Source organism: Homo sapiens, chromosome 12 (assembly GCF_000001405.40).
Source record: "Homo sapiens chromosome 12, GRCh38.p14 Primary Assembly".
Lineage (NCBI taxonomy): Eukaryota > Metazoa > Chordata > Mammalia > Primates > Hominidae > Homo > Homo sapiens.
The window spans coordinates 31,109,371-31,125,823 of record NC_000012.12 but is presented as its reverse complement, the minus strand read 5'-3'; the positions used below and the strand labels follow the sequence as shown (position 1 = coordinate 31,125,823).

Sequence of the window (16,453 nt, the reverse complement as noted above, 5' to 3'; positions counted from 1 at the left end):
ATAAGGTCACCAGTCAGATTGGATTGTGGCCCATAAGCTTCATTTTAACTTAATCACCTCTTTAAAAAGTCTTATCTCCAAATACAGCCACATTTTGAGGTACTTGGTGTTAGGGCTTCAACATATAATTTTAGGGGAACAATTCAGCACAAACAGAGGTCGGGAATGGAATTTTCATCCTTCTTTATGTGTAACCCATGACTTTTATGCAGACTATGTGAAAATTCTTCCTTTTTCTCAGATAATGTCATCTACTGGGAAAGAGAAAGGAAACCCAAGACAGAAGAATTTCCATCCTTTATTCCCTGGGCACCTTCTGCTCAGACTGAGAAGAGTTGCTATGTGCTGTTGGCTGTCATTTCCCGGAAAATTCCTGACCTCACCTATGCTAGTAAGATTGTGCAGTGGCTTGCCCAACAGATGAATTCCCATGGAGGCTTTTCTTCCAACCAGGTGATTAATGTAGGCCTGATATTAATAGCAATATGTTTAATGCAGAAGCTGTAACTCTATGACGAGTGAGATATTAATAGTAAAGCTATCACAACAAACCCTTTCTGAGAAGAAGAATCTTTGGTAATAAGATTCTTATTATCTTATTAATCTTATTTTATTTCCTCAACAATTATTTATTGGCCAGTTATTGTGTATGAGGCACTCTACTAGGAAGCCTCTAAATAGAAATGAATGAAATGAGGTCTCCCGTTCCAGGAATTTATGACCATTAGTATCTTCATTCACACAGCGAACATAGAATAAGTCTAGAGGACATTTTTGTCGTAAGCACCACTCTTGGTGGTACATTAGACACCTGATGATACTCTGTTCAAATTATATACGGGCCAAAAAGAAAGCTTTCGCTCTAGTTCTGTGGGCTATACACTGGGAAAAGCAAATGAAAAGAAGGAAAACAGGAGAAATGGGGGGTATGAGAAACAATGACATGTTTTTCCTTACTTGGAAACAAATTGAAAATGCAAAAAAGCAGTTTTATTTCCATGAGAAAAATCTGCATTTCTCTTTGTGTTTGGTCTTAGTTTCGGAGTAAAACCATATGCTAATGAATTTCCAAAGATCTTTTCCTGATTCTGAATTCCCTTCTTTGAAGATGAACAGAAAAAAAAGAATTATCCATGGCAGCCACAGGGGCCACTGAATTATGTAATGCCTTAACTTTTAGAAAAGCTTTGACACCATTTTTAACCAAGTAGGCTATATTTTATTAAAAATTTTTAGAAAGTAAAAATATAATTAACATTTGTTGAAAAAAATTAAGTGGAAACAATTTGCACAAGCAAGGATATTTTCCTATCATTCAGGATATTGCTTCTTGGTGTTTTGCTGACCTGTTTTAGGAAGGTTTCTAAGGGTTGATATTGAAGTCCATGGTCAAATGATGACCAATATTGTGTTGTAACTGAGCTTGGATCATTGTTTGTGCTGTTCTGTGCAGGAAACTGCAGTTTGTCTTCTTGCCATAACCCGCTACATAACCCGTGAGGCGGGGACTGAGAGCCAGGAGGGGAAGAGGGGGAGAGGATGATAATAATTTCAGCATCGCCGGCTGTGTTCACCCAGCCTGTGAAATTGTTATTAATATCCTGAAAGGGAGAGAATGATATTACTCCCCATAATAGACAGATACGACTCCGCATAATAGAGCACGAGGTATACACCCACCCTGTGATATTCTTCCTCATATTCAGAGGCCGAGAAGTTGATATTACTCCCAATATCACAGGACGTATACACCCTCGTGTTAGATGGTCCTTAATAATATTCCAAGGCGGAGTGGGTGATGTGACTACATATATGGCAGAAAGGGTACACCCCCATGGGATATTGTTCCCACGATCCTGGAGGGAAGAAAATGATATCACTTTCAATATGACAGAAGGTGGACACGGCCCCACTGATATTGTTTCTCATTGCAACGTGGGAGAGGAGGATGCGACACGCGATATCGCAGGGAGTAGAAACACCCCTGTGATACTGTTCTTAATATTCAGGGAGGAAGAGGATGATATTACTCCCAATACAGACGGGTGTACACCCTCTGTACACCAAGGTTGTACACCCGTCTGTGAAACAGTTCATAATCTCCAGAGGGGGAGATGATATTACTCACAATATGGTAAACAGGCTGTGAGTCCACCGCGGATCCTAAGAGCCAGGGGGGGAAGAGGGGCTGGCTCTCAGTCACCACAGCATGGGTGGCCTTTATGTTCAGGTTTTGCCCAAGAGTCAGCTTATTTGCTTCTAGTACTAGCAGGGTAGATGCTGCCAAGGCCCTCAAACAGGGGGGCCATCCTTTAAAAACCCTGTCTAGTTGTTTAGAGACGTAGGCCTCCGGCCTCAGCCAGGGCCCCACAGTTTGGGTTAAAAGTCCAGCTGCCATCTTTTCTCTCTCTGACACATACAATGGAAAAGGTTTTGTCAGATCGGGTAGCCCCAGGGCTGGGGCTGCCAGAAGTTTTTCCTTTAACTCATGAAAACCTTGCTGTTGTTGGGATCCCCATTCCAAAGCTTCCCGGTCCCCGCCCCCTTTGTGACCTCATACAAAGGCTTGGCTAATAACTGGAAAGTTTGGGATCCACTGTCTTCATAACCCCACAGCTCCTAAGAATTCTCTCACCTGCCTTCTGCCCTTAGGCTCTGGTAGATTGCAAACGACCTGCTTTCTTTGTGATCCCGGGCTGCATTCGGACCCCTGTCGGACAGTAAATCCCAAGTAAGGTACCTGCCATCGGTAGATCTGAGCTTTCTTCTTGGACACCTAATACCCACAGTCCTCCACTTGGGTCCTAAGGGTCTTAGGATCCACGATGGGGGTAATAGCCAGGGGGGGAAGAGGGGCTGGCTCTCAGTCCCCGCCTCGCGGGGGGTGCCTCCCCCCTCTGCGATGGGGGTTCCAAGAGCCAGGGGGGAAGAGGGGCTGGCTCTCAATCCCCACCTCACGGGGGGTGCCTCCCCCACTGCGATGGGGGTCCTAAGAGCCAGGGGGGGAAGAGGGGCTGTCTCTCAGTCCCTGCCTCGCGGGGGGTGCCTACCCCCCCTGCGGTGGGGATCCCAAGAGCCGGTGGGGAAGAGTGGCTGGCTCTCAGTCCCCGCCTCGCGGGCGGTGCCTCCCCACACTTCGATGGGGTTCCCAAGAGCCGGGGGGGTAGAGGGGCTGACTCTCAGTCCCCGCCTCGAGGGGTGTGCCTCCCCCCCCCGCTATGGGGGTCCCAAGGGCCGGGGGGGAAGAGGGGCTGGCTCTCAGTCCCCCCCTCGCGGGGGGTGCCTCCCCCCCCTGCGATGGGTGTCCTAAGAGCCAGGGGGGTAAGAGGGACTGGCTCTCAGTCCCCGCCTCGCGGGGGGTGCCTCAGCCCCCTGCGATGGGGGTCCTAAGGGCCAGGAGGGGAAGAGGGGGAGAGGATGATAATAATTTCAGCATCGCCGGCTGTGTTCACCCAGCCTGTGAAATTGTTATTAATATCCTGAAAGGGAGAGAATGATATTACTCCCCGTAATAGACAGATACGACTCCGCATAATAGAGCACGAGGTATACACCCACCCTGTGATATTCTTCCTCATATTCAGAGGCCAAGAAGTTGATATTACTCGTAATATCGCAGGACGTATACACCCTCGTGTTAGATGGTCCTTAATAATATTCCAAGGCGGAGTGGGCGATGTGACTACATATATGGCAGAAAGTGGAAACCCCCCTGGGATATTGTTCCCACGATCCTGGAGGGAAGAAAATGATATTACTTTCAATATGACAGAAGGTGGACATGCCACCACTGATATTGTTTCTAATTGCAACGTGGGAGAGGAGGATATGACACGCGATATCGCAGGGAGTAGAAACACCCCTGTGATACTGTTCTTAATATTCAGGGAGGAAGAGGATGATATTACTCCCAATACAGACGGGTGTACACCCTCTGTACACCAAGGGTGTACACCTGTCTGTGAAACAGTTCATAATCTCCAGAGGTCTCCAGAGGGGGAGATGATATTACTCACAATATGGTAAACAGGCTGTGAGTCCACTGCGGATCCTAAGAGCCAGGGGGGGAAGAGGGGCTGGCTCTCAGTCACCACAGTTTGGGGGGGCCTTTATGTTCAGGTTTTGCCCAAGAGTCAGCTTATTTGCTTCTAGTACTAGCAGAGTAGTTGCTGCCAAGGCCCTCAAACAGGGGGGCCATCCTGTAGAAACCCTGTCTACTTGTTTAGAGACTTAGGCCACCGGCCTCAGCCAGGTCCCCACAGTTTGGGATAAAAGTCCAGCTGCCATCTTTTCCCTCTCTGACGCATACAATGGAAAAGGCTTTGTCAGATCCGGTAGCCCCAGGGCTGGGGCTGCCAGAAGTTTTTCCTTTAACTCCTGAAAGCCTTCCTGTTGTTGGGATCCCCATTCCAAAGCTTCCCGGTCCCCGCCCCCTTTGTGACCTCATACAAAGGCTTGGCTAATACTGCAAAGTTTGGGATCCACAGTCTACAAAACCCCACAGCTCCTAAGAATTCTCTCACCTGCCTTCTGCCCTTAGGCTCCGGTAGATTGCAAACGACCTGCTTTCTTCCTGATCCCGGGCTGCGTTCGGACCCCTGTGGTATAGTAAATCCCAAGTAAGGTACCTGCGGTCGGCAGATCTGAGCTTTCTTCTTGGACACCTAATACCCAGGGTCCTCCAGGTGGGTCCTAAGGATCTTAGGATTCGCGATGGGGGTCTTAGCCAGGGGGGGAAGAGGGGCTGGCTCTCAGTCCCCGCCTCGCGGGGGGTGCCTCCCCCCCTGCGATGGGGGTCCGAAGAGCCTGGGGGGGAAGAGGGGCTGGCTCTCACTCCCCGCCTCGCGGGGGGTGCGTCCCCCCCCCTGCAATGGGGGTCCTAAGAGCCAGGGGGAAAGAGCCGCTGGCTCTCAGTCCCCGCCTCTCAGGGGGTGCCTCCAACCCACTGCGATGGGGGTCCGAAGAGCCTGGGGGGGGAAGAGGGGCAGGCTCTCAGTCCCCGCTTCGCGGGGGGAGCCTCCCCACACAGCGATGGGGGTCCCAAGAGCCAGGGGGGAAGTGGGGCTGGCTCTCAGTTCCCGCCTTGGGGTGTGTGTCTGCCCTGCTGCGATGGGGGTCCTAAGAGCAAGCGGGGGAAGAGGGGCTGGCTCCGGTAGATTGCAAATGACCTGCTTTCTTTCTGATCTCGAGCTGTGTTCGGACACCTGTCGGATAGTAAATCCCAAGTAACGTCGGCAGATCTGAGCTTTCTTCTTGGGCACCTAATACCCACAGTCCTCCAGTTGGGTCCTAAGGATCTTAGGATCCGCGATGGGGGTCCTAAGCCAGGGTGGGAAGAGGGGCTGGCTCTAGTCCCCGCCTCGCGGGGGGTGCCTCCCCCCTTGCTATGGGGGTCATAAGAGCCAGAGGGGGAAGAGGGTTTGGCTGTCAGACCCCGCCTCGCATGGGGTGCCTCCCCCCACTGCGATGGGGGTCCGAAGACCCGGGCGGGGTCGGGGGGGGCGGAGAGGGGCTGGCTCTCAGTCCCCGCATCGCGTGGGGTGCCTCCACCCCCTGCGATGGGGGTCCCTAGAGCCAGGGGGGGAAGAGGGGCTGTCTCTCAGTCCCCGCGTCGCGGAGGGTGCCTCTCCCCCTTGCGATGGGGTTCCCAAGAGCCAGTGGGGGAAGAGGGGCTGACTCTCCGTCCCCGCCTCGCGGGGTGTACCTCCCCCCACTGCGATGGTGGTCCCAAGAGCCAGGGGGGAAGTGGGGCTGGCTCGCAGTCCCCGCCTCGCATGTGGTGCCTCCCCACTCTGCGATGGGGGCCTAAGAGCCAGAGGTGAAGAGGGGCTGGCTGTCAGTCCCTGCCTGGCGGGGGTTACCTCCCCCTCTGCGATGGCAGTCCTAAGAGACGGGGGAAAGAGGAGCTGGCTCTCAGTACCCGCCTCGCGTGGGGTGCGAAGCGCCTGCGATGGGGGTCCTAAGAGCCCGTGGGGGAAGAGGTGCAGGCTCTCCGTCCCTGCCTCTCGGGGGGTGCCTCTCCCCCCTGCGATGGGGGTCCTAATAGCCAGGGGGGGAAGAGGGGCTGGCTCTCAGTCCCCGCCTCGTGTGGGGTGCCTCCCCTCCCCGCGATGGGGATCCCAAGAGCCGGGGAGAAGTGGGTCTGGCTCTCAGTTCCTGCCTCGCAGGGGGTGCCTCCCCCCTCTGCGTTGGGTGTCCTAAGAGCCGGGGGGGGGGGAAATGGGCTTGCTCTCAGTCCCCGCCTCGCGGGGGGTGCCTCCCCCCACTGCGATGGGGGTCCTAAGAGCCACGGGAGGAAGAGAGGCTGGCTCTCAGTCCCTGCCTCGCGGGGGGTGCCTTCCCCACCCGCGATGGGGCTCCTAAGAGCCAAGGGGGGAAGACGGGCTGGCTCTCAATCCTCGCCTCGCCGGGTGGCCTCCCACCCTGCGATGGGGCTCCTAAGAGCCACGGGGGGTAGAGGGGCTGGCTCTCAGTCCCCGCCTCGCGGTGGGTGCCTCCCCGCCCTGCGATGGGGGTCCGAAGAGCAGGGGGAAGGAGAGGGGCTGGCTCTCAGTCCCCGAATCGCGTGGGGTGCCTCCACCCCCTGCGATGGGGGTCCCTAGAGCCAGGGGGGGAAGAGGGGCTGGCTCTCAGTCCGCGCCTCGCGGAGGATGCCTCCCCCACTTGCAATGTGAGTCCTAAGAGCCAGAGGTGGGAGGGGCTGGCTCTCAGTTCCCGCCTCGCGGTGTGTGCCTGCCCCGCTGCGATGGAGGTCCTAAGAGCAAGGGGGGGAAGAGGGGCTGGCTCTGGTAGATTGCAAATGACCTGCTTTTTTTCTGATCCCGAGCTGCGTTCGGACCCCTGTCGGATAGTAAATCCCAGGTAAGGTACCTGCGGTCGGCAGGTCTGAGCTTTCTTCTTGGACACCTAAAACCCCCAGTCCTCCAGGTGGGTGCTAAGGATCTTAGAATCCGCGGTGGGGGTCCTAAGCCAGCGGGGGAAGAGGGGCTGGCTCTCAGTCCCCGACTCGTGGGCGGTGTCTTCCCCCCTTGCGATGGGGATCCTAAGAGCCAGGGGGGGAAGAGGGGCGGGCTCTCAGTGCCCGCCTCGCTGGAAGTGCCTCCCACCCATGAGATGGGTGTCCTAAGAGCCAAGGGGGGGGAATAGGGGCAGGCTCTCGATCCCCGCCTCTCGGGGGGTGCCTCCCCCCCTTGCGATCGGGGTCCCAAGGGCCAGGGGGGGAAGAGGGGCTGGCTCTCAGTCCCCGTCTCTCGGGTGGTGCCTCCCGCCACTACGATGTGGGTCCTAAGAGCCGGGGGTGGGAGGGTCTGGCTCTCAGTCACCGCCTCGTGAGGAGTGCCTCCCCCGCTGCGATGGAAGTTCTAAGACACAGGGGGGGAAGAGGTTCTGGCTCTCAGTCCCCGCCTCGCGGGGGGTGCCACGCGCCTGCATTGGGGGTCCTAAGAGCCATGGGGGGGTAGAGGGGCTGGCTCTCAGTCCCCGCCTCGTGGGGGTTGCCCCCCCCCTGCGATGGGGGTCTCAAGAGCCTGGGGGGGAAGAGGGGCTGGCTCTCAGTCCCCGCCTCTCCGGGTGTGCGTCCCCCCCCTGCAATGGGGGTCCTAAGAGTCAGGGGGAGTGAGCGGCTGGCTCTCAGTCCCCGCCTCGCAGGGGGTGCCTCCCCCGCCTGCGATGGGGGTCCGAAGAGCCTGGGGGGGAAGAGAGGCAGGCTCTCAGTCCCCGCTTCGCGGGGGTTGCCTCCCCGCACAGCGATGGGGGTCACAAGAGCCAGGGGGGAAGTGGGGCTGGCTCTCAGTTCCCGCCTTGCGGTGTGTGCCTCCCCCCCTGCGATGGGGGTCCTAAGAGCCAGGGGATGAAAAGGGGCTGGCTCTCAGTCCTCGCCTGGCGGGAGTGCCTCCCCCCCCGCGATGGGGGTCCTAAGATCCTGGGGGGGAAGAGGAGCTCTCTCTCAGTCCCCGCCTCGCGGGGGGTGCCTCCGACTCCTGCGATGGGGGTCCTAAGAGCCAGGGGGGTAAGAGGGGCAGGCTCTCAGTCCCCGCCTCGCTGCGGGTGCCTCCGTCCCTGCGATGGGGGTCCTAAGAACCAGGGAGGGAAGAGGGGCTGGTTCTCAGTCCTCGCCTCGCGGGGAGTGCCTCCCTCCACTGCGATGGGGGTCCCAGGAGCCAGGGGGGAGGTGGGGCTGGCTCTCAGTTCCCGCCTCACGAGGGGTGCCTCCCCCCACTGCGATGGGGGACCTAAGAGCAAGCGAGGGGAAGACGGGCTGGCTCCGGTAGATTGTAAATGACCTGCTTTCTTTCTTTTCCCGGGCTGCGTTCGGACCCCTGTCGATTGTAAATCCCAAGTAAGGTACCTGCCGTGGGCAGATCTGAGCTTTCTTCTTGGACACCCCATACCCACAGTCCTCCAGGTGGGTCCTAAGGATCTTAGGAACCGCGATGGGGGTCCTAAGCCCGGGGGGAAGGGGGGCTGGCTCTCAGTCCCCGCCTCGCGTGGCGTGCCTCCCCCGCTTGCGATGCGAGTCCTAAGAGCCGGGGGTGGGAGGGACTGGCTCTCAGTCTCCCCCTCGCGGTGGGTGCCTCCCCGCCCTGCAATGGGGATCCTAAGAGCCAGGCGGGGAAGAGGGGCTCTTCTCTAAGAATCAAAACACTGTCACCTTTAGCAGTGAAGGATCCAGTGAGATCCAGTTTAACGGTCATAACCGCCTACTGGTCCAACGTTCAGAAGTAACACAGGCACCTGGACAATACACAGTAGATGTGGAAGGACGCGGTTGTACATTTATCCAGGTTACAGAAATCTGCCTAAGAGGGTGATGAGTGTTTGCCAGTAAAAGAGTCAGACTGTCTGTTCAGTTCTACGTGAAGTGTTATTTGACCGTTTTGTGTATTTACATGATCAATAGCCAAAATTGCAAGTTACTTTATGAAAAGCTACTCAGCTGTCTAAGAGAAGTTTGAGGAATATTGCTATTAGAAAGTATTCTATCTTCATTAAATTACGTTATTCTGAAAACTAAAGAATTTAACCTGATTCCCTGATGATAAAGATGTAAACTGCATTAGTAATAGAAATAAACAATAGGTTCTTTCTTTTTAAAAATGTTTTATTTTTAATTTTTGTGGGTACATAGTAGGTGTAAATATTTACCGGGTGCATGATACAGGCATGCAATGTGTAAGAATCACATCAGGGCAAGTGGGGTATGCATCACCTCAAGCATTTATCCATTGTGTTACAAATGATCGAAGTATACTCTTAGTTATTTTAAAATGTAAAATCACATTACTACTGACTATAGTCAGACTGTATAATTCTTAATACAGGATGGGTTTTCTTATAATTTGCTATCCTTTCTAGGCCACCCTTAAGTACAATGTTCTCCTACCTAAGAAGGCATCTGGATTTTCTCTTTCCTTGGAAATAGTAAAGAACTACTCTTTGACTGTTTTTGACCTCACAGTGAACCTCAAGTAAGTGTCATATTTTGACAGTAACTCCCACGTGAACAAGATGGTAAAATATTTTAAAAGTTCAAACAGTAGTGAAATAACAAAATATAAATCATGGTAATGAGTTCTCATGTTGGTGGTGACAATTCTACAGCACAGTCACTTTTTAGCCGTCTGTCCGGACACCACAATTTAGTACATCTTCAGCTAAATCAGAGCTAAAATGAGGCAAGAAAACATGCAGTCTATGTGAGCAGGATTTGAAAGCTTTCACTGCACTGATGTTTCAATGATACTTTTTATTCTGTTGTATGGAAGTACTCCTAGTTTTGAAAAACAGAGATTCTATATTTCTTTCTCAAGACAAGCATGCATGGTCATATAGTAGCAAGCCCACAAATGTTTATTTTGTAACTGTAAAGAGTAACATTTTAGATTTTTACTTTTCAGAATAGAAAAACGAAATGATCCTCTTGAATTCAAGCATGATTTATAGATGCTAAAGGCTTTTAGCCTTAGTTAATATGTGGAAAACATTGAGTAAAATTAGTTTGGGAGATATTTTTTAGAATTTCTAAATAAAAATCGCTTGAGCTCCAGGGCTAAGAACTCAATGAATTGGGGAACTCTTTTTCTTTTTTGGTTTTTTTTTTTTTTTTTTTTTTTTGAGACAGAGTCTTACTTTGTCACCCAGGCTGCAGTACAGTGGCACAGTGGCACAATCTCAGCTCACTGCAACTTCCAGCTCCTGGGTTCAAAGGATTCTTACGGCTCAGCCTCCTGAGTAGCTGGGATTAGAGGCGTGCACCACCACATCTGGCTAATTTTTCTATTTTTAGTAGAGTCAGAGTTTTGCCATATTGGCCAGGCTGGTCTTGAACTCTGACCCTCAAGTGATCCACCCACCTTGGCCTCCAGAAGTGCTGGGATTACAGGTGTGAGCAACCACGCCCTGATGAACTATGGAACTCTTAACTTCATACCCCAATAGTCTTATCCAGAAGCAGGAAACTGAGCTAGAAGTTCTCCTGGGGACACATCTACTCTATAATTATGCTCATATACCACCTTTTAAGCAAAGATGTCCTCTAAGTGTTACGCAACTCTAACACTAACCTAAGTATATGTAAAAGATTTAGAAGCTCTGTTTATCAGTTCAAACTTTGAGACTGCAGGTAAGCTTAAAAGCAGGGTTTGGGGAAGATTTCATGTCCAGATAATTCATTATTTGCTCCAATTTCTGTTGCTATGTATCATCTCTTTCATTATCATTCTGGTTGTGCCTATTCACAGATGCTTGAAAATGACTTTCTTCCGATATTTTCTCTTCAGCTTTTACCTGTCCTCCAGATTTCTAGCCAATTAGTATTTATCCACCTGGCACTCTCATTATGAGATAAGTCACTTTTTAAAATTGATATCTAAACGAGTGTTTTCTTAAAATTTTCAGATACACTGGAATTCGCAATAAATCCAGTATGGTGGTTATAGATGTAAAAATGCTATCAGGATTTACTCCAACCATGTCATCCATTGAAGAGGTAAATAATAGAAGCCTAATCTTTCATCACAAAGACAGCTACATAGAGTATAAAGATAAAATAAATACTTGTTTAGCCGTAGTTTAGCAAAACAAAACTATAGAATTCTTCTTCAACATTCACCTTTGTATTTTTGCGCTAACACTGGAGAGCTGGTGTACTTCATTTGTACCAATTAGCAGTCAGTATTTCCCATGGTTCATCATATGTTTTTCTTTAGTTGCTACCTGTGTTTATGAAAACATCATGGCACCAAGGAATGTTCCATAAAACAGAACGTGACGTAGAAAAGAGTGGACATTCAGTTCTGCAGTGGCGCTGTCATTTGTTCTAATATCTATTCTCTATCCTTCCCTAACAATTTCTTCAAAGCTTGAAAACAAGGGCCAAGTGATGAAGACTGAAGTCAAGAATGACCATGTTCTTTTCTACTTGGAAAATGTAAGTTTAGCCATATTTTTTTTTCTTTAAAGTTTTTCTTTTTTCCTTCCAAGGATAATTGGATGCTTCAATTTCTTATAGATATGTATGATAGGATTTGTAAAAGGAAAAAATAAGGGACGTTAAGGATTACCAGTGTTTTATCCCACTGATCATCTTCTCCTTGCTAGTTCCAAGGCTATTTCATATATGCCCTGGCTATGTGACTAGATAGCTTTCCATTTTAGAAACATCATCTCCCTATCAAACACAGTCTGGTCACAGAGTAGATATGTAATTATTTTATAATTTGACTAAAGTCTTACAAAGTTTGCCATAATTTTTTGAAATTACAATTGTGTATTGAAGGTATGTGGTGTGATGTTTTGATATATATAGTGAGCTGATTGTTATCATCTAGCGTGACTATATGTGAATTAGCTGGCTAACACATCCCTCTCTTCACACAGTTACCTCTTCTTTTTTTGTGACAAAGCACTTAAGATCTACTCCCTTAGGGAATATTACATATACAGTACAGCATTGTTAACTGTAGGCCACCGCTGTACCTGAGATTTGTAGAATGTATTCATCCTGCACAGCTGAAGCTTTCTATCCTTTGACCAGCATCTCCCCATTTTCCCATCCCTGATAACTGCCATTCTACTGTCTGCATCTATGAACTCAACTTTAGATTTAACTTACAGGTGAGATCCTGCAGTGTTTTTTGTGTGTATCTGGTTTGTTTCATTCCACATAATGTCCTCCAAGTTCTTCAGTGTTGTTACAAATGGCAGAAATTCTTTCTTCTTTTAAGGCCGAATAATTTGTATGTGTATATGCCTCAGTTTCATTATCCATTCATCTGTTTCGAACGCTTAGGTTGATTCCTTATGTTGGCTATTGTGATTAATGAAAGAATTAGCATGGGACTGCAGCTGTCTCTTCAAAATATTCATCTCATTTTCTTTGGATGCATACCCAGAAATGGGATTGCTGGATCATAGGGTAGTTCTATTTTTATTTTACTGAGGAAATGCCAAACTATGGCATGCGCTTTAGAGACATCCTTTCTATGTGTATTGTTACCACTCACATAAATGCCTACATTCCTCTGAGACTTCCAGCTAAATTCCTCTCACCTCAATGTAAGCAAAGGAACTTGAAATTTTATATGATTTAAGGTTAACAACTCATTATTTTGCCAATATGTAAGTTAATCATACCCTAGATCTATTTAATTATGTAGATCATAAACTTCTGCGGATAATTTTCTCAGTGATTATCTTTTCTCAGACCTGCTACAATGTAATTATAATTTGTGTCATGATAGGTTTTTGGTCGAGCAGACAGTTTCACTTTTTCTGCTGAGCAGAGCAACCTTGTGTTCAACATTCAGCCAGCCCCAGGCATGGTCTACGATTAGTACGAAAAAGGTAGGCAAGCAACAGCCATGCCCTAAGGTTATTGAATGTGGTGTTTATATCTAACATTCCCTGAGCTACTAAACTTTCCAAAATCAACCTCTGTCTTCACAGAGTAAACAATAAATGGCATTACTTTGTGTTCTGGTTTCTTTATCCCATGATGTGTCTTCTGACTGAACCCATTTTCCAGTTACCAGAGTTTTTCAACACCAGAATCCTTGCAATATAACCTGACAGGGCTCCACTTGAACTTGAAATACAAGCCACACTAAGCTTCCAGGTCTTTTTGTTATTGTCATTGTTGTTCATGCTAAGACTGACTGTTCCAAGCTACTTCTGTGGACTTTGACTTAAAAAGAGGAGTGGGGAATATTCTGAAATGTTAACTTAAAAATTTGATAGATTAATTTCTAAAACATATACTAAAATGTTGTAGAGACCATACAACTGTTCCCTGGAAGGTTGGTACTATTTATTTCTTGTTGAATGCTGTGTGAAGTTTGTGGAGTGTTTGAATTCTGTCTCTATCATTTACTAATAGAATATATTTCATCAAGTGTCTTAAATATTATTAGCATATTTCTGCATAATGTATAAAATGGGAAAGTAATTGTCTCTATTTCAAAATTATTGGAAGGATTAGATCTAATGTGCTTATATCATCTATTTAATAAAAATACATGTTCCCTTTATTTTTTCAGAAGAATATGCCCTAGCTTTTTACCACATCAACAGTAGTTCAGTTTCCGAGTGAGACAAAGCAATTACTGGAAGAAGTAAAGAAATTTTATTACGTCATAAACCATTGAAAACACATCTAGTAAGAAAATGAAAACCTGAATAAGATAGGACAATAGTTGAAGAAAGAAAAGTCTCTGGTACTTCATTAGACTTGTGTAGCTGTGTACTGCATGAGTAATCTGATAATCATTAAGATTATATTAATTTCTTTAAAAATAGCTTTAAAGAATTCACAGCTATATATGTACCTTTTATAAATCTCTCATTTTTGTTTTGTAAGTTGACAGGTCAGTAAAAATTTAGGCATATATATTTGTACATATGTGTGTATATGTATATACATGTCTATGTGCCTATATATGCATGTTTTTATTTCTAAATATCTATTTATATATACATACAAATGTGTTTATTGTTTAAATGATGTTTTAAATCCCAGGTGGAGAAGCATTTCTTTTAACAAACTGATTCTTCTGTATCAAACCTGGAAAAAAATCATGAACCATCTGACATCGTGAACAGTCTGCAGTGGGCTATGGTTTCTTGACAAGTCTTATTTCCTTATCATCCCATTAAATGTTGTCATTTTGCATCTGAGTCTATGACTTTTTTTTCTTCCAGTACTCTATTCACAGTTTTAATCCTAGAAAACGCAGGGATTTTTTTTTGACAGCAACTTGAATAATTTGCTGTATGGCTGTCAACTCTAAATTTGAGTATTTAGACATTATGGAACACAGAGTTAAATTCTTCCATATACAAAGAAAGAGAGAGAGAGAAGTGGGGGAAGAGAAAGAAGGAGACTAAGTGAAAGTTGAAATGGACTCCATGTTAATTCAAGGAAACGAAAATAAACGCACAAAACACGTAGACTTGAATGTATCTTCCAAGATCAAATCTGCCTCAGGCCTAATCCAACGTTGCCCATCCCGTTGGAGCAAAGGCATTGCTTGTGCAGAGGATCGGCCAGGACGTCCTATGCTTGCATCCTTACTCACCAGGTAAACACGCTCCTCATGCTCCAGATGTAGCCAGTTGTCACCCCCGGGGGATACTGGTCAGGTACTCAGGGATGGTTAAGAAATGGTTGTGGCCCGCCTCAGACCACCCCACGCAGTGGGCTGAGTCAATTTCCAAAGCGCAGAGACAGCATTGCAAAGGCACAGTGTGCCGGGATGGGCCCTGGACATACACTGTGCAATCCATCTCAGATGAGGTATTGGGAGCAAGTTGGTGTGTCCCAGGCCACAGGCACTTCTCACATCCCACCTGAGTGGGAGCCATCACAGGCTAGCATCCTCTTGTCCTGCCCTGATCCTGGTTTTCTGCCTGGCTTTGCAGAAAACCTGGAAGGATCCTGGGGGAGACATCTCACAGAAGACAGTCCCAGAACATGGAATGTGACCTTGTTTGGAAATTGGGTCTTTGCATATGTTACCAAAGTAAGAGAAGCTCACAGTGGATTAGAGTGGGCCCCACCTAGTCTAATGATTGCTGTCCTTAACACACACATCCACACACACACACACACACACACACACACACACACACACGCGAATGTGCCCGTGAAAAAGGGAGGCAGAGGTTAGAGTGATGTGTCTACCAGGCATGGGAAGTGAATGGTTGCCAGAAACCAGCAGAAGCCAGGAGAGAGCCATGGAGTTGATCTGCCTCACAGCCTCTAGTTGGAACTCATCCCGTCAATACCTTGATTTTGCACTTCTAGCCTTCTCAACTGACAGAATAAACTCCTGTTGTTTAAAACCAGCCAGGTGTGGCATGTTTTCACAAGAGCCCTAGGAACCCAATACATCGACTTTCAAGGGCCGCATCCCACTGACTTCGAAGCAGGCCTGGATCTGTGTGTTGTCTCAGTTCTGGGAGCTCCCATGAGCCTGCAGAGAGACTGCAGGGTCTTCCTGGACAGTTCCTGAGGAGGAAAGAGAGACTCAGAGGATTGCCCCGATGTTGCCCCTCCCTCCTCCTAAACTCTGCTGGGCTCTCCCACTCCCCCAGGAAGACTTACTTCCCTGCTAACTTCTGCCCTGCAAGTTGACCCTGACATTTTCAAGTGCCACCCGCCCCTGTGAACTTGAATGGATTGCGCTGTTCTTTGCACAAGAACAGAAACGTCTGCCTGGAGTGCAGCTTGTGCTAGTGGCTGGGACTTCCCTGACACACAGCTCCCCTTATCTGTTGTGGAGCGGTCTCACTGACATCTGAGCAAGCAACTGGAAGAAGCTTCAGCCCCAGTTCTAAAAGTTCACAGTGACTGACAGCTGGGGTTGAGACAGACCCGCCTTCTGTAGGTGGACTTTGGCGCTGGCCTTAGTTATCCTTTTATAGACATTACCTTTGGAGGGGGCACAATTTTCACCCTCCTGCCCTGCCAGTGTGGCAGAGTATTTTTTATTCTTTGTATCCAGTTATTTCTTGGTGTTTCTTGGTGAATTGAATGGAAGATATGCTTTTTCCTAAGCATGGCTATGGCACAAGAGGCTTTCTGAAGCAGCTGCTCAGGTGGCTCAGCCTGGAAACTGGGGCAGGCTGTGAGGGAGAGTCTTCCTGAGCCCTCAGTATGTCATCCACGAGGGACAGGATGGGCTCTGGGGACTTGTTCTTCACCCCTTCCAGAGCTGAAACCAGAATGAGACTACCTGTGTCTCCAAAAAATAAAAAAAATTATCTGGGCTTGGCAGCATGCACCGGTAGTCCTAGCTACTTGGGAGGCTGAGGCAGGAGGACTGTTTGTGTGTGCCCAGGAGTTTGAGGATACAATGAGCCATGATCGCACTTAAGCCTGGGTGACAGAGAAGGACCCTGTCTCTTAAAAAAAAAAAAGAAGAAAAAGGAAAAGAAATCACCTTGTTTGTGAATA

The 16,453-nt window shown here is 48.5% G+C and overlaps 1 long non-coding RNA gene and 1 pseudogene across 5 annotated transcripts in view, besides 4 other annotated features; one reads left to right on the top strand and one right to left on the bottom strand.

Moving 5' to 3' along the window:
• The window catches only part of OVOS2P (ovostatin 2, pseudogene), an 89,584-nt pseudogene extending 75,412 nt beyond the window's left edge, over positions 1-14,172 (top strand). The window contains exons 36-45 of the transcript NR_153414.1: positions 242-453; positions 2,653-2,731; positions 4,541-4,685; positions 6,827-6,861; positions 8,340-8,404; positions 9,355-9,467; positions 10,897-10,987; positions 11,360-11,428; positions 12,741-12,843; positions 14,015-14,172. The product of NR_153414.1 is annotated as an ovostatin 2, pseudogene (transcript). The remainder of the gene's footprint in view (positions 1-241; positions 454-2,652; positions 2,732-4,540; positions 4,686-6,826; positions 6,862-8,339; positions 8,405-9,354; positions 9,468-10,896; positions 10,988-11,359; positions 11,429-12,740; positions 12,844-14,014) is intronic.
• LOC124902912 (uncharacterized) lies at positions 1,197-8,564 on the bottom strand. 4 transcript variants are annotated; one of them, XR_007063267.1, is made up of 7 exons: positions 6,871-6,926; positions 5,169-5,319; positions 4,524-4,598; positions 3,559-3,734; positions 2,636-2,710; positions 1,681-1,856; positions 1,197-1,601 (listed from the first exon to the last, which is right to left on the bottom strand). It is a non-coding gene; the product is annotated as an uncharacterized LOC124902912 (long non-coding RNA). The 4 variants fall into 4 exon arrangements; XR_007063265.1 differs by lacking the exons at positions 1,681-1,856; positions 5,169-5,319; positions 6,871-6,926 and adding an exon at positions 8,283-8,564; XR_007063268.1 differs by lacking the exons at positions 3,559-3,734; positions 5,169-5,319; positions 6,871-6,926 and adding an exon at positions 8,283-8,564.
• Positions 4,318-4,847: an enhancer, noted in NCBI's record as "H3K4me1 hESC enhancer chr12:31273911-31274440 (GRCh37/hg19 assembly coordinates)". NCBI's record gives its function as "activates a minimal SCP1, AML or CMV promoter by ChIP-STARR-seq in primed H9 embryonic stem cells {active_cell/tissue: H9 hESC(primed)}" and the evidence as "EXISTENCE:reporter gene assay evidence [ECO:0000049][PMID:30033119]".
• Positions 7,500-8,029: an enhancer, noted in NCBI's record as "H3K27ac-H3K4me1 hESC enhancer chr12:31270729-31271258 (GRCh37/hg19 assembly coordinates)". NCBI's record gives its function as "activates a minimal SCP1, AML or CMV promoter by ChIP-STARR-seq in naive and primed H9 embryonic stem cells {active_cell/tissue: H9 hESC(naive and primed)}" and the evidence as "EXISTENCE:reporter gene assay evidence [ECO:0000049][PMID:30033119]".
• Positions 8,030-8,560: an enhancer, noted in NCBI's record as "H3K27ac-H3K4me1 hESC enhancer chr12:31270198-31270728 (GRCh37/hg19 assembly coordinates)". NCBI's record gives its function as "activates a minimal SCP1, AML or CMV promoter by ChIP-STARR-seq in naive and primed H9 embryonic stem cells {active_cell/tissue: H9 hESC(naive and primed)}" and the evidence as "EXISTENCE:reporter gene assay evidence [ECO:0000049][PMID:30033119]".
• Positions 15,672-15,872: a silencer, noted in NCBI's record as "peak1651 fragment used in MPRA reporter construct". NCBI's record gives its function as "represses an SCP1 promoter by STARR-seq MPRAs in K562 erythroleukemia cells {active_cell/tissue: K562}" and the evidence as "EXISTENCE:reporter gene assay evidence [ECO:0000049][PMID:32103011]".